The 25,110-nt window shown below is 44.5% G+C and overlaps 1 long non-coding RNA gene and 1 pseudogene across 3 annotated transcripts in view, besides 3 other annotated features; both read right to left on the bottom strand.

Annotated features, from left to right (window-relative positions):
- LOC124900954 (uncharacterized) overlaps positions 1–25,110 on the bottom strand; it is a 65,808-nt gene that overhangs the window by 33,034 nt on the left and 7,664 nt on the right. Inside the window, exons 2-4 of one of the 3 annotated variants that reach the window (XR_007058719.1) lie at positions 21,470–21,621; positions 9,316–9,453; positions 6,783–6,877 (exon numbers count right to left, since the gene is read on the bottom strand). This is a non-coding gene — a long non-coding RNA (uncharacterized LOC124900954). The remainder of the gene's footprint in view (positions 1–6,782; positions 6,878–9,315; positions 9,454–21,469; positions 21,622–25,110) is intronic. The other 2 variants (XR_007058720.1, XR_007058721.1) reach the window with 2 other exon arrangements.
- Positions 581–790: an enhancer, noted in NCBI's record as "active region_22447". NCBI's record gives its function as "activates an Ori minimal core promoter by ATAC-STARR-seq in GM12878 lymphoblastoid cells {active_cell/tissue: GM12878}" and the evidence as "EXISTENCE:reporter gene assay evidence [ECO:0000049][PMID:35858748]".
- Positions 6,693–6,792: an enhancer, noted in NCBI's record as "active region_22446". NCBI's record gives its function as "activates an Ori minimal core promoter by ATAC-STARR-seq in GM12878 lymphoblastoid cells {active_cell/tissue: GM12878}" and the evidence as "EXISTENCE:reporter gene assay evidence [ECO:0000049][PMID:35858748]".
- Positions 6,933–7,042: an enhancer, noted in NCBI's record as "active region_22445". NCBI's record gives its function as "activates an Ori minimal core promoter by ATAC-STARR-seq in GM12878 lymphoblastoid cells {active_cell/tissue: GM12878}" and the evidence as "EXISTENCE:reporter gene assay evidence [ECO:0000049][PMID:35858748]".
- On the bottom strand, positions 14,613–15,991 carry TMEM183AP2 (TMEM183A pseudogene 2; annotated as a pseudogene).

Below are 25,110 nucleotides of genomic sequence, written 5' to 3'. Positions count from 1 at the left end.
CAGTAGTCTGCTAGAGCAATGGCAACCCCATCCTCCTCTTTCTTGAGAGCAACGGCAACCCCATCCTCCTCTTTCTTGAAGTGAGCACCAGGATTGAAGTACAGACATACTCAGGATAAGAGTAGAATAATTCCCACACATAATCTCCAGTCTCTGTTATTTCTGTACAGGAACTTTTCCTAGTCCATCCAAATTTGACACAGCCGGGTCTGGCCTTGAACCAGCGCCACATCTCCAGGCCTGCCCTGAGCCTCCACGGCAGCCTGTTCCAGGACTCCCCTGGGAAGAGCAGTGGGAGGCTGTCTCTCCTCCAAACCCAGCAAGGTTTCTGTTCACACTTTTCCAGAGTCAAAGTGGATTAAGCTGTCTAAAAGTGGGTACAGTTAACAGAAGTGACTCAAATTACAACCATTACCTCTGCCTGCCCCCACTTCCTCTTTCATCACCTCTGAGAGGCACCTGTGGGTGCCTCCTGGGTTGATGAGCCTCCCCCTTTGGCTGCAGCATATGTATGAACGTATGACGCCACCGCTGTATGGTGGGATGCCAACTGGAGAGGAGTCTGTTGATTCTAGAGCAGCTGACTTCTGTCATGTTTCTCCCTAGAAATAGAGAGAAGCCACAGAGGGAAGAAGGTGTGAAATGGGGCCAGGTGCGGTGGCTCACACCTGTAATCCCAGCACTTTGGCAGGCAGAGGCAGGAGGATCGCTTGAGGTCAGGAGTTCGAGACAAGCCTGGCCAACATGGTGAAACCTCATCTCTACTAAAAATAAAAAAATTAGCTGGGTGCGGCCACGCGTGCCTATAGTTGCAGCTACTCAAGAGGCTGAGGCAGGAGAATCGCTTTAACCCAGGAGGCAGAGGTTGCAGTGAGCCAAGATCACACCACTACACTCCAGCCTGGGTGACAGAGTGAGATTCTGTCTCAAAAAAAGAAAAAAAAGAAAGTGTGAAATGGGAAAATGAGGGATGAAGAGCAAGTCTGCATCCTGGTAGTTCATTTCCTGCTTCCCTACTTCCTGAAGCTTTGTGGCCCTTGGGTTTCATAAAGCATCACTGTGAGTCATCCCACTATCTCATGTCTCCATCATAGCTACACTATTTCTTCACTTGTATTGTCTGCCTCTCTCACAATCAGCCAGGCTCTCCTTGACACCAGGGACCTCTTTAAATTCAGATTAGTAACGACAGCCCATGGTGGGATAGTTAGGTACAGGGAAAGTGATTCAAATGTCAGTTGAATAAATAAAAGCACAACTTGATTATCACACACTATCCTGAAAGAACATGTGTGTCATAACAAAAATCATTGGATATTATGTTTGGTGCTTTAAACACGCACACACACACACACACACACACACAAATATGAAACATTTTTTCTGCCATCCATGGGTTGACAGCTAAATAGAACATTCTTTTGTAAATAAACATGACTATTTATACAAAACATATGGCAGCAGAATTAAAATATTGTATGTTTATGAATGACTTATAAAACCCCATATAATGTTGTAGGGAATGGATTTAATAATTATGGGGGTTTTCTGCCCAGACACAACAGTGGAGAGCACATTTTCTCTGTGGAATCCAGGAGGCTTCATGACAAGAAAGAGATACTATCAAAAGAGCTTTCAAAACACTGCAAAGAGACCACCTGGAGATCAGGAAACACAAGGGAGAGCCAGGTGCATACTGGGTAGGAGCATGGGGCTGGTACCTTGGAGGGTGCAAGAGAAGTGAGAAAGTCAGGGTTTTTAAGTTTGCCAGGGCCACTCTAACAAAGTACTGCAAACCGGGTGGCCTAAACCAGTGGTCCCCAACATTTTTGGCACCAGGGGGACAAGTTTCATGGGAGACAATTTTTCCATGGACCCGGATCGGGGGCAGCAGGGAAGGGGGGGGGCAGTTTCAGGATGATTCAAGCACATTACATTTATTGTGCACTTTATTTCTATTATTATAACATTGTAATATTTAATGAAATAATTATACAACTCACCATAATGTAGAATCCGTGGGAGCCCTGAGCTTGTTTTCCTGCAACTAGACAGTCCCATCTGGGGATGATGGGAGACAGTGACAGATCATCAGGCATTAGAGTCTCATAAGGAGCCCACAACCTAGATCCCTCACATGCGCAGCTCACAATAGGGTTTGTGCTTTTATGAGAATCTAATGCCAGCTCTGATCTGACAGGAGGCGGAGCTCAGGCAGTAGTGTTCGCTTGCCCACTGCTCACCTCCTGCAGTGCAGCCCAGTTCCTAACTGGCCTATGGTACTGTTCTATGGCTCTGGGGTTGAGGGCCCCTGGCCTAAACAAAAGGAACTGTTTTTTTTGTTTGTTTTTTTTTTTTGAGATGGAGTTTCACTCTTATTGCCCAAGCTGGAGTGCAATGACATGGTCTCGGCTCACTGCAACCTCTGCTGCCTAGGTTCAAGAGATTCTCCTGCCTCAGCCTCCCGAGTAGCTGGGATTACAGGCACCCACGACCACGCCTGGCTAATTTTTTGTATTTTTAGTAGAGGGAGGTTTCACTATGTTGGTCAGGCTGCACCCAGCCCAGAACTTCTTGTTTCATAGTTCTGGAGGTTAGAAGTCCAAAATCAAAATATCAGGAGTGTTGGTTCCATCTAAGGGCTATGAGGGAAGGATCTGTCGAGGTCTCTCTCCTTGGCTTATAGATGGCCATCTTCGTGTTCAGATGACAGTCTCCCTGTGTACCTGTCTGTCTCCAAATTCCCCTTTTTATAAGGACACCAGGCATATGGGACAAAGGCCCACCCTAGTGATCTGATGACCTCTGCAAAGATCACATTCTGAGGTACTGGGGATTAGGACTTCAACATATTCATTTTGAGGGAATACAATTCAAACTGTCACATGGATGCCCTGGAAGCACTATAGATGAGGATGTGTTCCTGGCTTAGTTCGAATTCTAGATCTCCAGTCAAAAGGTTTTTTTAAATCACCCCATTACCACACCACCACCCTAGCCCCCAGATCTTCTCATCACACACGCTTTTTATCTTTTTTCTTTTTTTTTTTTGAGACAGAGTTTCACTCTTGTTGCCCAGGCTGAAGTGCAATGGCACAATCTCAGCTCACTGCAACCTCTGCCTCCCGGGTTCAAGTGACTCTCCTGCCTCAGCTCCCAAGTAGCTGGGATTACACATGCACACCACCACGCCCAGCTAATATTGTATTTTCAGTAGAGACGGGGATTCTTCATGTTGCTCAGGCTGGTCTCGAACTCCTGATCTCAGGTGAGCCGCCCACCTCAGCCTTCCAAAGTGCTGGGATTACAGGCGTGAGCCACCATGCCTGGCCTCACACATGCTTTCTGTGGCTGCTAGAAAACAAGGGCTCTTTGGAGTCACTCGTGCCTGTGGAATCTCCTGCGGGACTTTCAAAAGTGAGTTGTTAGGCTTGGCACAGTGGCTCATGCCTGTAATCCCAGCACTTTGGGAGGCCAAGGTGGGCAGATTGCTTGAGCTCAGGAGTTCGAGACCAGCCTGGACAACATGGTGAGACTCCCGTCTCTACAAAATAAATAAATAAATAAAAGTGAGTTGTTGCCTCCCTAGCAGTCATTCAGCCTCTTGGTGGGAGCACTGACACTGTGATGCCGACGTTGAAACTGCCGGACACCCAAACTCTCAGTTCAGCGTGCAGGCAGAGCACAGGCAGCTGACTCACTCTTGACTGACGGGACCGGACGTGGCTTCCGCTGGGAACTTTTGGCAAAGCACATCTCCGTTAATACCTAAAAGATGCGGGATGGGAACACCCCTCCCTTCCTGGCCTGGACATGGCCTGGTGAGGATGTAATGCTTGGGAGCTCCAAAGTGATTTTTTTTTTTTTTTTTCAGAGACGGAGTCTCGCTCTGTCGCCCAGGCTGGAGTGCAGTGGCGTGATCTCGGCTCACTGCAAGCTCCACCTCCCAGGTTCAAGCAATTCTCCTGCCTCAGCCTCCCGAGTAGCTGGGATTACAGGCAGCCACCACAGTGCCCAGCTAATTTTTGCATTTTTAGTAGATGCAGGGTTTCACCATGTTGGCCAAGCTGGTCTCAAACCTCTGACATCAGGTGATCTGCCCACCTTGGTCCAAAGTGATTTTAAAACCATGAAGGGAGATGGCACCAAAACATTAGAACGGCAGAGCAGGAAAATGAAAACCTTTTCTCAACTTTGGTAGGCTGATATCCATATGCTAAGCCCTGGAACCCATCAATTTTACCTTATAGATTTGATAAAGTTAAGGATCTTGGGGTGAGATTATCCTGAATTATCTGGGTGGACCCTAAATGTAATCACAAGTGTCCTCATGAGAGGGAAGCAAAGGGAGATTTGACAACAGAAATAGGGGAGGAGATGATGGAAGCCAGAGGTTGGAGTGATTTGAGGAAGGAGTCACGAGCCAAGGAATGCAGACAGCCTCCAGAAACTAAAAAATGCAAGAAAACAGAACTTCCCTAGAGCTCCCAGAAAAAAAAACAGCCCTGCCAACTGACTTTAGTCCAGTGAAACTGATTTTAGACTCCAGCCTCCAGAACTATAAAAGAATAAAGTTGTGTTGTTTTAAGCCAAGTTTCTGGTAATTTATCATAGTAGCAGTAGGAAATTAATACAACAACCTAAAACTGAACCAACCCAGGGAACACGTTTCCTCTTGATTTCTTGTAAAATGGCATCATTTTTTAAACTCCGAATTTTATAAGCTACTTTTAGCAAGGCTTGTTGTTTGTTACTTGTAGTCCCATGCATCCTAAATCATACTTTTAACATGACTGGCGGCAGTTTTAGTGGAGCTATTATTAGTTAGGATATTGGTTCAGCTGCTAACATAGGAAGAATTTTTTTTTTTTTTTTGAGACGGAGTCTCATTCTTGTCACCCAGGCTAGAGTGCAAAGGTGCGATCTCGGCTCACTACAACGTCTGCCTCTCCGGTTCAAGCGATTCTCCTGCCTCAGCCTCCCAAGTAGCTGGAATTACAGGCACCCACCATCATGCCTGGCTAATTTTTGTAGAGACGGGGTTTCACCATGTTGGCCAGGCTGGTCTTGAACTCCTGACCTCAGGTGATCTTCCTGCCTCGGCCTCCCAAAGTGCTGGGATTACAGGTGTGAACCACCACGCCCAGCCCCCCAACCTTTTTTTTTAAAGGAGGACTGGTAGTGCAGGTCTGCTTTGAGAATTTTACTCAGAAGTAGTCTTCTTTATTTAGCATATTGGATACCTCTCACTTTCTTTTTTTTAGTAGTGATAAAATAAGTAGCAATATTTTTATATGAGTATATCTTATTGCTCTGCCATTCCTGGGGGGTTGTCCTCATCCTCATGGTCCAAGATGACTTGCCACCAATACAACTGCAAGCCAACCAAGAAAAGAGGGGGAGGCCCAAAGACAGGGCACACCCCAGAAAGCTGCACCACTTCCATTCATAGTGCAACGGTCAGAACTTGGTCATCTGGCTACACCTACTTGTCAGGGAAGCTGGAAGTCTTTAGTCAAACGTGCACAATTAGAAACACAAAAATAAAAATAAAAGAGCATGTACATACTGGAGACCATAGGTGGTCTCTGTTTCAGTTCTGTTTCAGGAACGATGATATGAGCATTTAAGTTAAAATCAAGGAGGCTTTAGCATCTCAGGACAAATGACCCTAATACTCAACCCTACTGATGAAACTTAACTCATTCCAGATCTCCTCTGGTCTACGGCCATGGTTTAAGAATTTGTGGGGGCCGAGTGTGGTGGTTCAAGGCTGTAATCCCAGCACTTTGGGAGGCTGAGGCGAGTGGATTGCTTGAGCCCAGGAGTTCAAGACCAGCCTGGCCAACAGCCTGGGCAATATCCCTACTAAAAATACAAAAACTAGCTGGGTGTGGTGGCACACACCTGTAGTCCCAGCTACTCGAGAGGCTGAGATGGGAGCATCACTTGAACCCAGGATGTCGAGGCTGCAGTGAGTCATGATCGTGCCACTGTACTCCAGCCTGGGTGACAGAATGAGACCCTGTCTCAAAAAAAAAAAAAAAAAGAATTTGTGGGGAGGGTAGCAGCAGATTCTGCAATATATAAGAAACAAATGGTGGTGCCCTTCTCCATTACCTTCCCCTCGTGCCCAGGGCACCTCTTTGAAGTATTAGTTCTCCGGGAAGACACTGAAAGAATGCATTGCTCTAAGAGAAAGCAAAACCCTACTGCTCTGCAGATAGTCACAGTAATTCTTGGGGATTCCCAAGGCTGCCAAGTTTATTTCTCCTGTGAGTTACGCTGAAAACCCCCAACCCTTGGTAAATAATCTGAACCAGTCTCGTTGCTACATTGCTTGGTAGATTTTAGAGTCACTCACTGCAGGAAACAGAGGCTGGAACATTCCACTCCCTAGGTGAGAAGCCATTTTCAACTACACCCTGTAGTTCACGGTGCTATCTGGAGCCAGAGTGAATGCCGGTTGCCATGGCACTGCTTTAAATTGTGCCTGTGCTGACACATCTCATCACAATGTCACATGCTGCTCCCATACACTAGATAGATAGAGCCGCATCTATCTCTTCCTCATGTTTACCGATTGATGCCTGAGCTCTGCGTTAGGAATAGAGATACATCAGCCAGAAAGCAAATCATGTGGGTGCCACACCTCCCTGGCTTATTTATAAGGGGTTGAAAACACCTGAATTAGGCAACAAGCGATCTGAGTTCTACTCACAGTTCTCCACTCTGTGATTTTGGACAAATTCCTTAAAATCTCTGACCCTTGGATTCCTCACCTGTACAATGAATGAGATGGAGTAGAATATCTCTGCAGTATCTTCCTGATGTAATGTCTCTGACTCCTGCACGCCGTTTTGAAGCAGCGGAAGCTCTGCAGAGAATCAACATCAAAGTGTGAGTGAGGCAATTCCTGTAAGCAGTTGCATGGCCCTGCCCTGCTGACTGTTTCTGAAATTCCCCTCCACCATCTCTGAGCTGTTAGGGATTTGTTTTGAGTTAATTTTCTGGCAAGATGCCACTTGCCAAAAGGTCCCTTCTGGTGCACTAAGAGGACTGTTTTCAGCTTGGATTATTATTTGCCTTGGAAATGCTTTCTTCTCAAGCCAGTCGCTGGTTCAGTGCTCACAGTTTTGGTCCCAAAGATAGCTACACCTCTGAATAAAGTAAGTTCTGAAACTAGACACTTTGGGATGCAGAGGTGGGAGGGTCACTTGGGTTCAGCAGTTCAAGACCAGCCTTGGCAACATAGTGAGACTCGTCTCTACTAAAAATACAAAAATTAGCCAGGTGTGGTAGTGTGTGCCTGTAGTCCCAACTACATCACTTGAGCCCAGGAGGTCGAGGCTGCCGTGAGTCGGAATACAATGGCTGGACAACAGAGCGACACCTTGTCTCAAAAATAAATAAATAAACTAGAAAAAGACATGTGAGGCTGGCTTTTGGGCATGTTTTATAGAGTAGTATCTCATGGGACCAAGGGACAAAGCAGCTCTGATACTTGTATAACCAGCGTGCAGCTGGTCTCATTAGCTGGTCTCATTTCATACTTGCGTTGTCCTGCCCCCTAGCACTCATCTGTTGTTTGTAAAAACTGGGCTCTTGCTGGGCGTGGTGGCTCATGCCTGTAATCCCAGGACTTTGGGAGCCTGAGGCGGGCAGATCACGAGGTCAGGAGTTCGAGACCAGCCTGGCCAATATGGTGAAACCCCGTCTCTACTAAAAATACAAAAATTAGCCAGGCGCGGTGGTGTGTGCCTGTAGTCCCAGCTACTCAGGAGGCTGAGGCGGAAGAATCGCTTGAACCCAGGAGGCGGAGGTTGCAGTGAGGCGACATCGCTCCACTGCACTCCAGCCTGGGCAACAGAGCGAGACTCCATCTCAAAAAAAAAGAAAAAAAGAAAAAAACTGGGCTCTCACTTTCAAATTCTCCTTCACACCCCATCTCAATTATTTGTGGGAATCCTCACATGGGCTCTCATGTATAATCCACAGACAAAAATAGGGTCTGGGAAGTAAGGGGAACAAGGGTAATAGAGTGTCTTGGCTCAAACCAGGGATAAGCAAGTCACAGGAAAAAAATCTAGGGACTTGACAGCAATCATCATCTTTTTTATTTTTGAGATAGGGTCTCGCTCTGCCACCTAGGCTGCAGTCCAGTGGTGCGATCTCGGCTCACTGCAGCCTCAGCCTCCTGGACTCAAGCCATCCTCCCACCTCAGCCTCCCAAGTAGCTGGGACCACAGGCGCATGCCAACCATGCATGGTGAATTTTGGTTGTTGTTGTTTTTGTTGTTGTTTTGAGACAGAGTCTTGCTCTATTGCCCAGGCTGGAGTGCAGTGGCGCAATCTTGGCTCATTGCAACCTCTACCTCCTGGGTTCAAGTGATTCTTGTGCTTCAGCCTCCCTAGTAGCTGGGACTACAGGTGTGCACCACCAAGCCTGGCTGATTTTTGGTTTTTTAGTAGAGACGGAGGGGTGGGGGTGGGGGGTTCGCCATTTGGCCAGGCTGGTCTTGAACTCCTGACCTCAGCCTCCCAAAGTGCTGGGATTACAAGCATAAGCCATTGTGCCCGGCCCAGACTTTTTGTATTTTTTGCAGAGACAGGATCTCACTGTGTTGCCCAGGGTGGTCTTGAAGTCCTGGGCTCAAGCGATCCTCCCACCTCAGCTTCCCAAAGTGCTGGGATTACAGGCTTGAGCGACTGTGCCAGGCCACAATCACCATCTTGAAAACAAGGTTTGTCCACCTCAGTTTGCCTGATAGGGAGTGAGAGGAAAATCTAGACAGACTTCACAGAGAAAATGAAACATTGGCTGGCTCTCAAAGAATGAATGCTGGATCCAGTGATGATGGCTTTGGGGGAAGACCTGATGAAGCAGATGCCCCTGTGCCTTGCCCCCCAACAGACTGACCTCCCCTTTCCAAACTTCAGTTGGAGCACTTGTACATTCATTCTATATTTTTTAGTCTTCTATTTTTTTTAATGTCCTAATCTTAGAATTAAGGCAAAAAGATAATTGTATGTCCTTTCACTGTCATGCTGGAGCATTGTCCGAACAGGTCCACCCAAGTGTTATTCATCTGGAGAATGTACCTTTGTTTGACTTGTTAATTATTATCATTAGGGTCCAGATTCTATGAAGTTACGTGTTAACTTGTAGGTTTTTGTCTGTTAGAGACCCAAATGATTCCTATTCTACAGAAAAGACAATCCTAAAGATTATAGTTTATTAACCTGTAGGACATAAACTAGATTTCCCTTTAACCTAGCTAACTTATTTCAGCATGTCTTTTCTGCTATACAAACCTCTGTTCCTTGAATTCTCCTTCAACCAGATTTATTATCTTTCTGGTCTCTTCATTAAATGAGTTAGATTGATATTTGACACATGCTCACTATATATTTGATGGCAGCATGTTTTTTACTCTTAGAGGGAGACTTAGCCTAAAAAAAAAAAAGGAAAGAAAAAAAAGAAAATTATCCTTTGGCACTCATTTAACAAATATTTATTGAACAACTTTTTTTTTTTTTTTTTGAGATGGAGTCTAGTCCTGTCGCCCAGGCTGGAGTGCAGTGGTACGATCTCAGCTCACTGCAACCTCCACCTCCCAGGTCCCGGTTCAAGCAATTCTCCTGCCTCAGCGTCCTGAGTAGCTGGGATTACAGGTACCCACCACCACGCCCAGCTAATTTTTGTATTTTTAGTAGAGATGGGGTTTCACCATGTTGGCCAGGCTGGTCACGAACTCCTGACCTCAAATGATCCACCTGCCTCAGCCTCCCAAAGTGCTGGGATTACAGGCGTGAGCCACCGCGCCCGGCCTATTGAACAACTATTATAGGCATCTTCGTCTGTTTAGGCTGCTAGAACAAGAATACCATAGACTGGGTAGTTTATAAACAATAGAAATTTATTTCTAACAGTTCTGGTGGTTGGGAAGTTCAAGATTACAACACTGGCATGTTTGGTATCTGGTGAGAGCCTACTTACTGTTTCACAGAAGGCCTCACAAGGCAAAAGGGGCAAGGGAGTTCTCTGGAGCTTCTTTTATAAGGGCACTAATTCTATTTATGAATGTACTACCCTCAAGATCTAATCAATTCCCAAAGACCCACATCTCCTAATATCATCACACTAGGGGTTAGGAGTTCAACATATAAATGTTGAGGGAAGCCTGGGCAACAATGGCAAAACTTCATCTCTACAAAAAAAAAAAAATATATATATATATATACACATATATATATAAAACATAGATTTATATATATAATATATATTTATATCTATATACAGAATATATAGAATATATATTCTATATATATACACACACATATACACAAAAAAATAGCCTAGCATGGTGGCGCCCATCTGTAGTCCCAGCTACTTGATGTTGGCACCCATCTGTAGTCCCAGCTACTTGGAGGGCTGAGGCAGGGAGGATCACTTGAGCCCCAGAGGTCGAGACTGCAGTGAGCCATGTTCACACTACTGCAAATGGTCTCAGTTTGTCACCCTGTCTCAAAAAAAAAAAATGGGAAAACACGGAGACAGTAGATATTACAGAGAACAAGATAGACCTGGTCTCTGCCCTCATACAGCAAACATTCTGAAGGGAGAAAGATTGCAAATACATCAATAAATTGTAGACTATGCTTAGCGAAATGAAGAAAAATACAAAAAGTGCTGTGACAGAGATTATTGGGGTAGGTAGTCACAGCAGGCCTCTCTGAGAAGGTGACATGAAGCTGAGACTTGAAAGACAGAAGCCAGCTCTACAAAGAGGGAGCGGGGAAAGGTTCCAAGAAGAGGGAAACAGCAAGCACAAGGACCCTGCAGTGGAGCCAGCTTCAGATTGTCCTGGGAACTAGAAGGCCAGATGATGAGGGTGGGATCCATGAAAGGCAAGATGGCCTGAGATATAGTCAAAGAGGTAGTGTGGAAATTAGATTTTTAATGTCAGGACTTGTCATTACCAAGAACTAAGGAAGAAAGAAGGGGGCTGATCACCACCTAAAAGCCGGGTGACCTTCACGTCTTAATTATTTTATTATATTATATTATTTTATTTTTGAGACAGGGTCTCACTCTGTCACCCAGGCTGGAGTACAGTGGCTCAAACATGGCTCACTGCATCCTTGACCTCCTGGACTCAGGTGGTCCTCCCACCTCAGCCTCCTGGGTAGCTGGGACTACAGACACACACCACCCAGCCTGGCTAAATTTTTGTATTTTTTGTAGAGTGGGGATTTCACCATTTTACCTAAGCTGGTCTTGAACTCCTAGGCTCAAGCAATCTGCCCACCTTGGCCTCCCAAAGTGCTAGGATTATAGGCGTGAACCACCATGCCCAGCCACACCTTAGTTATTTTAATACGTCAGATTATCGGCTTTCTTTTAGCTTTCTTAATGTTAACATCTTACATACCATGGTACAGTACGTTTCTCAAAAATAAAAGATTGATCCTGGTACAATACTATTAACTATTCCACTAAACTCAGATTCTTCCAATTTCTCCAGTTTTTCCACTATATTCTTTTCTCTGTTCCAGGATACCACATTGCATCATTTGTCATATCTCTTTAGTCCCCTTTAATCTGTGACAGTTTCACAGTCTTTCCTTGTTTTTCTCGACCTTGGCACTCTTGAAGAGTGCCAGGTATTTTGTAGACTATTTCTCAATTTGGATTTTTCTGATGTTTTCTCATGATTAGACTGAGGTTATGAATTTTAAGGAAGAAACAACAGAGGTCATGTGACAAGCATTCTTTTACTTCTTTTTTTTTTTTTTTTCAATCCTGGCTGACCAAAAAAAAAAAAATCCTGGCTGAGAACTGTCTTGTGACACTCAGGGGAGGAGGGATTTTGTGATATACAGGTGAAGAAGGGGAAGGTTTTCATGAAACTGAGGTAGGGAAGAAGGATTTCTTTTTTTTTTTTTTTTTGACAGAGTCTCCCTCTATTGCCCAGGCTGGAGTGCAATGGCATGATCTCAGCTCACTGCAAGCTCTGCCTCCCGGGTTCACGCCATTCTCCTGCCTCAGCCTCCTAGTAGCTGGGACTACAGGCGCCCACCACCACGCCCGGCTAATTTTTTATATTTTTAGTAGAGACGGGGTTTCACCGTGTTAGACAGGATGGTCTCGATCTCCTGACCTCGTGATCCGCCCGCCTTGGCCTCCCAAAATGCAGGGATTACAGGCGTGAGCCACCGCGCCCGGCGTGGAGAAGGATTTCATGTTATTTCACAAATAGGGAGAAACACGATTAGAAGTGAGTAAGTTCAAAAGTCTGGCTTCAGGTGGGGCATGGTGACTCACGCTTGTAATCCCAGCACTTTGGGAGGCCAAGGTGGGTGGATCACCTGAGGTCAGGAGTTCGAGACCAGCCAGGGCAACATGGCAAAACCCCGTCTTTACTAAAAATACAAAAAAATCAGATGGGAGTGGTGGCGCGCACCTGTAATCCCAACTACTCAGGAGGCTGAGGCACGAGAATCACTTGAACCCGGGAGGTAGAGGTTGCAGTGAGCTGAGATCATGCCATTGCACTCCAGCCTGGGTGACAGAGCCAGACTCCATCTCAAAAAAAAAAAATCTGGCTTTGGTCAAATGGGCTGATAGCATGCATATCAAATAGGACACAGTGTCCAGCAAAATTGTAAAAAGCTGGGGTTTCGCTAAGATTTTAACTCTTTCTCTCACGGGGAGTTTAAGTAGTGTGAAGCTCTATTGTGAGGTTGTTTCCCTTCATCAGTAGGTAAAGATAGTGTTGCGCACAATTAGATTTGAAATGATTCCAAGACTAGGGGAAGTTGGCAAAGGGTTTTAGACCAGAGACTGGTATTCCAAGCTGAAGAAACAGCATAGTGAAAGCCATGCAGGCGTGAGGGAGCACTTGGCATATTCAAGTAATTGGATTGCTTGAAGGGTAGGATGAGCAAGGGAAACAGTGAGAGATAAGATTAGAAAAGAGTCAGGGGCCACAGCAGGAAGGGCCTTCTGCACCATGTTAAGGTATTTGGGATCTTATAAATGATCCAGAAGTCAACAGTTCACTTCATTCCGAACGATGGTCCAAAGCCGAACCCGATCCAATTACCTTGCAAGTTCAAGTCACACATTTCAAGGAATCACCAGGCAAAGGTAAGCTGCAAGTTCACCATTTGCTCAGGCAACATTCCTTATCAGTTGGTCAAGAGTGTTAGCTAACATGTTATGAAAAACAGCACCTTATTACTATTGGATCCGCCATCACCAATATTTATTTTGTTTGTACTACTGAAAGGAGTGGTTGTGTGGCTCAGACATCCTCACTCATTTCTTGTATTGATTGTGTGATTACATGTTCTCTTTTTCTCTAGATCTTTCTACCTTCTCCTTTATAGTTGCCTTGGCACCTTCCACTAACCATTAAATGTTGATTCATTCTCAAGCCCTTTTCTCACCCTATGCTCTTTCTCCCTATGTGATTTTATCTAGCTTTGTGCTTCCCTTGCTATCCATGTCCTGAAAATTTATTTATTTGTTTGTTTATTTATTTATTTTCTTGAGATGGAGTCTTGTTCTGTTGCCCAGGCTGGAGTGCAGTGGCTCAATCTCGGCTCACTGCAACTTCCGTCTCCCAGGTTGAAGCAATTCACCTGCCTCAGCCTCCTGAGTAGCTGGGATTGCAGGTGACCGCCACCGCACCCGGCTAATTTTTGTATATTTAGGAGAGTCGGGGTTTCGTCATGTTGGCCAGGCTGGTTTCAAACTCCTGACCTCAGGTGATCCGCTTGCCTCAGCCTCCCAAAGTGCTGAGATTACAGGCGTGAGCCACCACACCTGGCCAATGTCCTGAAAATTTAAAAAGCTATTCCACCCGAATTGTCACCTGAGCTCTAGGCTGCACTTCCAACTGTTTCCTGGCTTCTGACCCTTCTGTGACACATGCACCTCAAACTCAGCATGTCCAAAACAAAACTTTGAGGGGCCAGGCGCAGTGGCTCATGCCTGTAATCCCAGCACTTTAGGAGGCCGAGGCAGGCGGATCACAAGTTCAGGAGATGGAGACCATCCTGGCTGACACAGTGAAACCCCGTCTCTACTAAAAGTACAAAAAATTAGCCAGGCGTGGTGGCGGGTGCCTGTAGTCCCAGCTACTCAGGAGGCTGAGGCAGGAGAATGTTGTGAACCCGGGAGGCGGAGCTTGCAGTGAGCTTAGATCGCACCACTGCATTCCAGTCTGGGCAACAGAGCGAGACTCCGTCTCAAAAAAAAAAAAAAAAAAAACTTTGTATCTTCCTTTCCTCCACCAATATCTGCTCCTCCCTCCTTCCTTCAGCTGTTAATGACAATCAGTCACCTGATCTCCCAAATTAGACACTTAAAGTCATCTCTGATGTCTCCTTCTTTGTTACTTCCCACATCTAATCTGCTGCTCAAATTTGTCCATTTTTTTCTTTCTTTCTTTGAGACAGGATCTCACTCTGCTGCCTAGGCCAGAGTACACTGGGGCGATCTCGGCTCACTGCAGCCTGGTCCTCCCAGACTCAAACAATCCTCCCACCTCAGCCTCCCAAATAGCTGGGACTACAGGCACACGACACCACAACTGGCTATTTTTTTAATGCAAATTTTTACATTAAAATATGTTTATAAATCATAGTAGTTGTTTTCCCTCTTGATTCAACATTTCTCCCTCCCCTAACAGGAGCCCTAGAACCTGAAGAGCATGTACATTACTAACCAGATATATAATCCAGCCGCCCTGTCCAAACTGGAATCTGATTACTAATGGACTAGAATCGGGGCTGCCCCCAAGGGATGGGAAGCAGTAACTACGCTCTCAGGGAGAATGGGTACTGAGGGTGCCATCAGTCAAAGAGCCGAAAGCTGTGCACTGGGTCCAGGATGACTTGCACACCCTGTTCACTGCACAGTTTCCGACCACCATGGACAGGGGAATCTTGAAACACCAGTCTCACTCAATGATGCCGTATGTCCTTGCTCACATTGATAGTAAAGAGAGTAAATATCATTCTCATGACAATCGGAATGAAGATGAAATTGAGGGTGGTGGCCTGCAGTAGGCAGCAGTCCCGGTGTGGATTGGTATGAACATCTTCGTACTGAACAGGGGGCTGCAATCCTCCTGTACACTTGCTCTTTAACCTGTTTTTTTAACTTGAAGTTGAATTTCCACATTGGTTCCTGTCTGTTCCCAACAATATTTCTGCACCAGAAAAGTAAGCATTTGGAATTCTTTAATGTGCTGGGGGTGCTTGGATTCTTGGAGATTGGAGCAGCAAATGGCTCATACATATATGGTACAGAGATCGGATCACACAAGCCCGGAGACAGCGCAGCTTCTCCATTGACTCTGGTCGCAGACGCAAAGGCAGGGAAGCATCCAGCGTGTAGTGCCTTCGGTACAACCTTGTCCAAAAGGCAGCAGTGCAAGTGACAGTCCGAGCATTCTTACAAATCAGGGAAAAATTCACAATGTCCTCAGGACAGATATAGGAGGCCAGCAATAGCCAAATATCCATGGGATACTCTTCTCCTCCAGCCCCGTCCAGTTCTTCTTTGTGCCTCTTGCTTTTCTTTTTTCTGGAGACAGTTCTCTCACAGATGCTTTCCTCCTGGGCATCGTCTCATCACCGCTGTCGATGATGTCACAGGGCTCACCAGCCCCAGAAAGAGCTTCCTCTGCAGGAACCTGAGAGGCTTCCAAGCCACAAAGAGATTTTACTTCCTGCTGAACAGCGTTGGCTAAGGCTTTCTTGACTCATCCAGACCTCACGACCGCTGGATCCGAGTTGGCGTAATCCACCTCAGTCACTTGTCCAGAGCAGGCGTCGTGGGCCCAGAACTTGAGTCGCTTTCCTCTCTTGGGCATGGCGACCGTATCGGGGCGAGGCCTGCCTAGCTGGCCGGGCCCCCGGGCCATGTCTCCGGCCCGGCTCCGTGGCCTTCCCACACCGGAGGCCGCTAACTCTCCCACAACTGGCTATTTTTTGTATTTTTTGTAGAGACGGGGTTTTGCCCTGTGCCCAGGCTGGCCTCAAACTCCTAAGCTTAAGCAATCCTCCCGCCTCAGGCTCCCATGAGCCACTATGCCTGGCCAAATTCGTCGATTTTTAAACCTAAGTTTTCCCCTTTTCCTCATATACTTGATTTCACATCTTCATCTCTCATCTGAACTATTGTTTCATCATAGGACTTACCGCTCTCTGCAGTGATTTATTCAGATTACATCTGTGTTGAGGAGTAGGCACCGGATGGATGTTCTGTGGTGCTAGTTCTTACCCATGTATGTATGAAACCTGGGCAAACCCCATAGTTTTTCATTAATTCTAAGAGTTAAAAAATATTCCGATCGCGGCCAGGCGTGGTGGCTCACTCCTATAATCCCAGCACTTTGGGAGGTCAGGGCAGGCAGATCACTTAAGGCCAGGAGTTCAGGACCAGCCTGGCCAAGATGGTGAAACCCCGTCTCTACTAAAAATACAAAAATTAGCCAGGCATGGTGGCTCGTACCTGTAATCCCAGCTAGTCGGGAGGCTGGGGCAGGAAAATCATCTGAGCCTGGGAGGTGGAGGTTGCAGTGAGCCGAGATCGCGCCATTGCACTCCAGCCTGGGCAACAAGAGCAAAACTCCATCTCAAAAAAAAAAGATAAGAAAGAAAATATTCTGATTGCTTTCAGCCACAAGAAAAACTAATGTTATAAATTAATATGTCTCATGCAGTATAATCATCGGAACTCTTGACTTTATGTCAACTTGCCTCAGCGTGGCCTGCTCAAGGCAGAAGCATGCAGTCAAGGAGAGGGTGATTGTCTGCTTCTCTTTTTCCTCTGGGAGCCTCTCCTCCACAGCCCGCACTTTCTGGGACTTCTGACCCTCCAGGCTTGGAGTTTCTCTGAACATGTTAAATGATTTGAGCTGATGCTTCTCTCCTGGTTACTCCGATGGGCTGGCCAGGAAGCTGTCTGACTGCTCCTCTTCACTTGGAGTTGGGGAATGGCCTCTGCTTTGGTTTGTCATTCATCACCCTTGGCAACCTTAGCATGGGGTGGCCGTCTCCACACGGACTGTCTCTCTGTTGTGTCCCATCGTACTCTCAGGCAGTCCTCTTGGGCAAGATCTCTTTTTCTCTTTTTTAAAGACAGGGTCTTGCTATGTTGCCTAAGTTGGAGTGCAGTGGCTATTCATAGGTGTGATCATAGCTCGCTGCAGCCTCCAACTCCTGGGCTCAAGTAATCCTCCCGCCTCAGCCTCCCAAGTAGCCAGGACTATAGTCACACCCCACAGTGCCAGGCAAAATCTCTTTTTAAATGATGCCAGGTCAGAATTCATACATCAGTTTTCACCTCTGGTCCCAGAAAATAAGCACCTTAGACCCACTGCTTGGGGAGTGCAGCTGCTTCTAAGGCAGCCTCGCAACCTTTTTTTTTTCAATGACAACTTTATTGACATTTAATGCACGTATCATAAAATTCGCCACTGAAGCACATTCCATGGGTGTTAACATATTCACAAGGTTGCGTAACCATCCCCTCTCTCTAATTTCAAATATTTTCATCACTCCAAAAAGAAACCCCTGACCCATTAGCAATCATTCTGCATTCCCTCCTTCTTCTAACCTCTGGAAACCCCCAATCTACTTCCTGTTGCTATGAATTTTCTTATTCTGGACATTTCACATAAGTGCAACTGTACAAGATGTGGTCTTTTGTGTCTGCCTTCTTTAACTTAGCATTATGTTTTCAAGGTTCATCCACACTGTAGCATGAATCAGTATATCATTCCTTTTTATGACTGAAAATATTCCATTGTTTGGAGATACCACATTTTGTTTATTTATGTTTGTTTATTGATGGACATTTGGGTTGTTTCCATTTGTTGGCTATTATGAATAATGCTTCTATAAGCATTCATGTGCAAGTTTTCGTATGGACATATGTTTTCATTTCTCTTGGGCATATACATAGGAGCACAATTGCCTGGTCATAAGGTGACTCTATGTTTAAATTTTTGAGGAACTGCCAAACTGTTTTCCAAAGTGGCTGCACCGTTTTACAATCCCATCAGCAATGTATGAGGGTTTCTGATTTCTCCATATCCTGGCCAGTGCTTCCTATTTTGTCTCTTTGTTATTTTACCCATCTAGCAAGCATGAAACAGTATTTCACTGAGGCTTTGATTTCCATTTTCCTAAACTACCGGATGATGTTGAGCAGCTGTTCATGTACTTATTAGTCGCTTGTGTATCTTCTTTAGAGAAAGTCTATTCAAATCCTTTGCCCATTTTTTTTCAACTTCTATTTTTGATCAGGGGGTACACGTCCAGGTTTGTTACATGGGTAAATTGTGTGTCACTGAGGTTTGGTGTACAAATGATTCCATCACCCAGGTAGTGAGCATAGGCAGTTTTTCAACCCTCGCCCTTCTTCCATCCTCCCTTTTCTAGTAGCCTCCAGTGTCAGTGGTCAAGGCAGCTCATGCCTATGATCCCAGCAATTTGGGAGGCCAGGGAAGGAGGATCGCTTTTGTCCAAGAATTTGAGAACAGCCAGGGCAACTTAGTGAGACTCCAACTCTGCAAAAAAAAAATTTTTTTTTTTTTATTTAGCCAGGTGTGGTGGCACATGCCTGTAATCCCAGCTACTCAGGAGGCTGAGTTGGGAGGATCACTTGCGCCCTGGAAATTGAGGCTGCATTGAGCTGTGATTGTGCCACTGTACTCCAACCTGGGTGACAGAGTGAAATCTTGTCTCAAAAAAAAAATAAAAATAAATTAATTTTGAGACAAGATCTCACTCTGTCCCCAGTGTCATTGTTCCCTTCTTATGTATTTGTGTGCTCAATATTTAGCGCCCACTTATAAGTTAGAACATGTGGTGTTTGGTTTTCTGTTCCTGCATTAATTCACTTAAGATAATGGCCTCCACCTGCATCCATGTTACTGCAAAGGATGTGATTTCATTCTTTTTTATGGCTGTGTAGTATTCCGTGGTGTATATGTACCACATTTTCTTTATCTAGTCCACCATTCATTGGCACCTAGGTCGATTCCTTGTCTTTGCTATGGTGAAAGTGCTGTGATAAACTTATGAGTGCACATGCCTTTTTGGTAGAATGACTTACTTTCCTTTGGGTATATACCCAGTAATAGGATTGCCAAGTTGAATGGTAGTCCTGTTTTAAGTTGAGAAATCTCCAAACCCTTTTCCATGGGGACTGAACTAATTTACATTCCCAGCAACAGTGTATAAGCATTCCCTTTTCTATACAACCTTGGCAACATCTGTCATTTTTTGACTTTTTAATAGCCATTCTGAGTGATGTGAGATGGTATCTAATTGTGGTTTTGATTTGTATTTCTTTAATGATTAGTGATGTTGAGCATTTTTTCATATATTTGTTGGCTGCATGTATATCATATTTTGAGAAGGGTCTGTTCATGTCCTTTGACCATTTTTTAATGAGGTTGCTTGTTTTTTGCTTGTTGAATTAAGTTCCTTATAGATTCTGGATATCAGACCTTTGTTGGATGCATAGTTTGCAAATATTTTCTCCCATTCTGTAGGTTGGCTGTTTAGTCTGTTGATAGTTTTTGTTTGTTTGTTTGTTTGTTTTGCTATGCAGAAATTCTTTATTTTAATTAGGCTCCACTTGTCAATTTTTTTGTTGCAATTGCTTTTGGGCACTTCATTATAAACTTTTTGCCAAGGCCAATGTCCAGAATAGTATTTCCTAGGTTTTCTTCTAGAATTTGTAAAGTTTTAGGTCTTACATTTAAGACTTCAATCCATCGTGTGTTAATTTTTGTATATGGTGAAAGGCAGGAATCCAGTTTGATTCTTCTGCAAATGGCTAGTCAGTTATCCCAGCACCATTTATTGAATAGGGAGTTCCTTCCACATTGCTTGTTATTGTCAACTTTGTCGGAGATCATATGGTTGTAGATGTGTGGCTTTATTTCTGGGTTCTCTATCCATTGGTCTATGCACCTGTTTTTGTGCCAGTGCCATGCTATTTTAACTTCTGTAGCCTTATAGTTTGAATTTGGGTAGTGTGATGCCTCTAGCTTTGTTCTTTTTGTCTAGGATTGCTTTGGTTATCCCCTTTTGCCTATTTTTAAACTGCGTATTTTGTGCTTTGGTTGTTGAATTGTTAGAGTTATTTATATATTCTGGATCCTAGCCTCCTTTTTAAAGCCAGCTGAAAGGCATCACCAACTGTGGTTTTGCCCTGGGATTTTTCAAACTGTAGTAGGCTAGGACAGGGGACCTTTGTCAAGCTTTTTAGATAGTTCTCTTGTAAGCATGGCACATTAACCACTCTCTCCAAAGAAATTCTTTCTCTCCAATCTTTTTTTTTTTTTTTTTTTTTTTTTTTTTTAGACAGGGTCTTGCTCCCTGTCACCCGGACTGGAGTGCAGTGGTACGATCTTGACTCAGCAGCCTCAACCTCCCGGGCTCAAGCAATCTTCCCACCTCAGCCTCCTGAGTAGCTGGGACCACAGGCTCGCCCCACCATGCTCAGCTAATTTTTTAATTTTTGTAGAGACAGGGTCTCACTGTCCAGGCTCATCTTGAACTCCTGGGCTGAGGCAATCCTCCCACCTTGGCCTCCCAAAGTATTGGGATTATAGGCATGAGCCACCATACTCAGACATCGTTTCCAGACTTTTTGATCTTCAACTCAATCTTTTATGACTTTGAGGTGGATGAAGGGACAAGAATAACAAAAATTGTTTTATCTGCTCCCTTTCCAGGTCCCATATAGTTGGGGTGACTAATTTATCATCCAAACCAGAAAACTTTTGAATGAAAGGAGGTACGGGCCAGGCACTGTGGCTCACACCTGTAATCCTAGCATTTTGGGAGGCCGAAGTGGGTGGATCACCTGAGGTCAGGAATTCAAGACCATCCTGACCAACTTGGTGAAACCCCATCTCTACTAAAAATGCAAAAAATTAGCCAAGCGTGGTGGCAGACACCTGTAATCCCAGCTACTCAGGAGCCTGAGGCAGGAGAATCACTCGAACCCGGGAGGCAGAGGTTGCAGTAAGCTGACATCGTGCCACTGCACACCAGCCTGGGCAATAAGAGCAAAACACCATCTCAAAAAAAGAAAAAGAAAAAAGAAAGGAATTACTAAAATAATGAAAATCATATTATTGGAATTTTTATTTATTAACTGATAGATTGACTTCATTTTATCAGTGGGGTTACCTATAATAAAATTCTCTTCAAACCCTACTTTCAAAAATACAGTGTCCTAAAAAATAAAAAACATCAAAACTCTGTATAGAAAGAATGTTTTCACATTGATTATCTAAACAATAATAATAAAAAAACCTAAGCATGCCCAGTTCTCCCAGTATAAATTCATGCACCATAACCAATTCCTCTCAGCCATACTCCTTCCCTCTCTCATGGCCCACGGGAACCTTCGGCTCTCCTTTACCACTTGGGAGTCGCAGGAAACTTAAGGGATAATTCCTGACTGTCTCCAACTAGTCTCATGATGCCACCATCTCTTCTGTTCTCCTCATGTGGTCGTGGGTCACATCTGCCAGTCTGCCACCTTCTTAAAATTCTAGATGATCTTTGACAAACCTGAGAAAAACAAGCAATGGGGAAAGGATTCCCTATTTAATAAATGGTGCTGGGAAAACTGGCTAGCCATATGTAGAAAGCTGAAACTGGATCCCTTCCTTATACCTTATACAAAAATCAATTCAAGATGGATTAAAGACTTAAACGTTGGACCTAAAACCATAAAAACCCTAGAAGAAAACCTAGGCATTACCATTCAGGACATAGGCATGGGCAAGGACTTCATGTCTAAAACACCAAAAGCAATGGCAACAAAAGCCAAAATTGACAAATGGGATCTCATTAAACTAAAGAGCTTCTGCACAGCAAAAGAAACTACCATCAGAGTGAACAGGCAACCTACAAAATGGGAGAAAATTTTCGCAACCTACTCATCTGACAAAGGGCTAATATCCAGAATCTACAATGAACTCCAACAAATTTACAAGAAAAAAACAAACAACCCCATCAAAAAGTGGGCAAAGGACATGAACAGACACTTCTCAAAAGAAGACATTTATGCAGCCAAAAAACACATGAAAAAATGCTCACCATCACTGGCCATCAGAGAAATGCAAATCAAAACCACGATGAGATACCATCTCACACCAGTTAGAATGGCGATCATTAAAAAGTCAGGAAACAACAGGTGCTGGAGAGGATGTGGAGAAATAGGAACACTTTTACACTGTTGGTGGGACTGTAAACTAGTTCAACCATTGTGGAAGTCAGTGTGGCGATTCCTCAGGGATCTAAAACTAGAAATACCATTTGACCCAGCCATCCCATTACTGAGTATATACCCAAAGGACTATAAATCATGCTGCTATAAAGACACATGCACACGTATGTTTATTGTGGCATTATTCACAATAGCAAAGACTTGGAACCAACCCAAATGTCCAGCAATGATAGACTGGATTAAGAAAATGTGGCACATATACACCATGGAATACTATGCAGCCATAAAAAATGATGAGTTCATGTCCTTTGTAGGGACATGGATGAAATTGGAAATCATCATTCTCAGTAAACTATCGCAAGAACAAAGAACCAAACACCGCATATTCTCACTCATAGGTGGGAATTGAACAATGAGAACACATGGACACAGGAAGGGGAACATCACACTCTGGGGACTGTTGTGGGGTGGGGGTAGGGGGGAGGGATAGCATTGGGAGATACACCTAATGCTAGATGACGAGTTAGTGGGTGCAGCTCACCAGCATGGCACATGTATACATATGTAACTAACCTGCACATTGTGCACATGTACCCTAAAACTTAAAGTATAATAATAATAAATAAATAAATAAATAAATTCTAGATGAGACGCAAAGCAGAAGCTCATGTTGCTCTTAGATCTGCGGACATAAAGAGGGGTTCTTATCACCCAGGCCCATTGACAATGAGAGTTGGGGGCGTACTGTATGGCCCTTATACTCTTCCTAACTCTTCAACTGCTTTATTCTTCTTGACTTGAAGGATTTTTCCTAGTTGGGGAGAGAAAGACTCAGGAAAAAAGGATTCCTGCCATTTGCAAATCCTTTCAAGTTTTCCATCTTAGGTTAAACTCTCAGCTCTACAATTGGAAGCTGAGTCTACTCTGTCCATTTCTGGCTTTCTCCTGAGACCCATGGTATACCCGTGTTCCCTGGTCTGAACAGGGTGGTCAAAGGAGAAAAAAAAACACCACTTTATTATTCAAGAATGTACATACACACATGTGTGTGTATATGTGTGATATTTATATTTATACATCAACTTATTGAAGAAGTAGACACTTAGAAGGAAACACTCTATCTGGTCACTAGACCACCACTAATAATTACGTGTTCTCTCCTCCATTATCCAATTTCCTGTCCCCCTGAATGCTGGCCAGCACCTCAAATAGATGGCAATTTTTCTGCCCAACTTTGCATTTCTAAATGATCTCAGCTTTGGTGCACCTGCCAATGAAAGGTTGAAATAAGCTTCCACTGACCACAACTGCTGGGCATGGACATAAATAATAAAACAAGGAGCAATTCCTGATGAATTGCTGGTTTCTTGTGTACACCCCTACTCCCATCGTGTGGCAGCAACCTCATTTCCCTTTTCACAGTGTCATTCACCCCAGCCGACACCATTACCCTTTTTTGCCTGCTTATGGCTAGGATAGAAACCATTATTGTGTCCCCTATGGGAAGTATTCCTCCCTTAGAGAGTAAGACCACTAGCTGAGCATGGTGGCTCACCCCTGTAATCCCAGCATTTTGAGAGGCCAAGGTGAAGGATCGCTTGAGCCTAGGAGTTGGAGAGCAGCCTGGGCAATGTAGTGAGACCACATCTCTATTTTTTAACAAGAGTTTTTAAAAATTAAAAATAAATAAATAGGCTAGGTGTGGTGGCGCATGCCTGTAATCCCAGCTACTCAGGAGGCTGAAGCAGGAGAATCACTTGAACCTGGGAGGCGGAGATTCCAGTGAGCTGAGATTGCACCACTGCACTCCAGCTCGGGTGACAGAAAGAGGCTCCGTCTCAAAAAATAAAATAAAATAAAAGTAAAGTAAATAAATAAATAAATAAGAGAGCAAAATAAACAAGACAGCAAAGCCCAGAGTTGCATACATGGGAAGCAAACATTTTATAATTTAGTAATTAGGTAAAACTTTGAAAGGCACCACCGCCAAATCCTGTACCTGTATTTCCTTCTAGGTATCAGATGCTTCAAGTTCCTAAGTACATGATAAAACTAGTTAACTGTTAGCATGATATCTCATTGTCTTTTACTTTCCTTGTGAAGTGAGTTCCTTAACTGAGGACTTATCTCCCTCAAACATTTGGACCATCGTTGTATCTCCTGGGTCATACAGCAGGTACCAATTGGTACCTCCTCTTCTTCTGCAGTCTGGATGAGCTAGAGAGGCTTCTCTTGTTCTGTACCCAAATAAGGCTGGCATATCTGAGTTCACCAGGTCAATGGGTTGAAGCAAGGCAACCAAATGTGTTCTCTGTTACCTCTAATATGCAAGGAGCCCTATCAATTGGAGAGGATTATCTATCGATATTTCAGTCCACTCCACTAGGTCCTCTCCTAAAGTTTATTTTTCTTCCTGTTTTTAGAGACAGGGTCTTGTTCTGTCACCCAGCCTGGAGTGCAATGGTGCAATCACTGCTCACTGTAACCTTGAATTCTCCAGATCTAGTGACTCTCCCACCTCAGCCTCCTAAGTAGCTAGAAGTACAGGTGTGCACCACCACATCCAGCCAATATTTAAATTTTTTGTGGAGACAGGGTCTCATTATGTTGCCCAGGCTAGTCTCAAATTCCTAGTTTCAAGTGACTCTCCCACCTTGGCCTCCCCAAACACTGGGATTACAGGCATGAGCCATGGCGTCCAACCCTCCCCCAGAAGATTAACTGAGGTAGCAAGTCCTTGTATTTTCATAGGATTTATTTCTCACCTGCTAGCACATATGGGTCTAAGATATCTAGATCAACATCTGTGATACCGGTTACTTCTTATT

Source organism: Homo sapiens, chromosome 5 (assembly GCF_000001405.40).
Source record: "Homo sapiens chromosome 5, GRCh38.p14 Primary Assembly".
NCBI lineage: Eukaryota > Metazoa > Chordata > Mammalia > Primates > Hominidae > Homo > Homo sapiens.
Note: the sequence above shows the minus strand (reverse complement) of the source record. Positions and strands in the feature narration are given on the sequence as shown.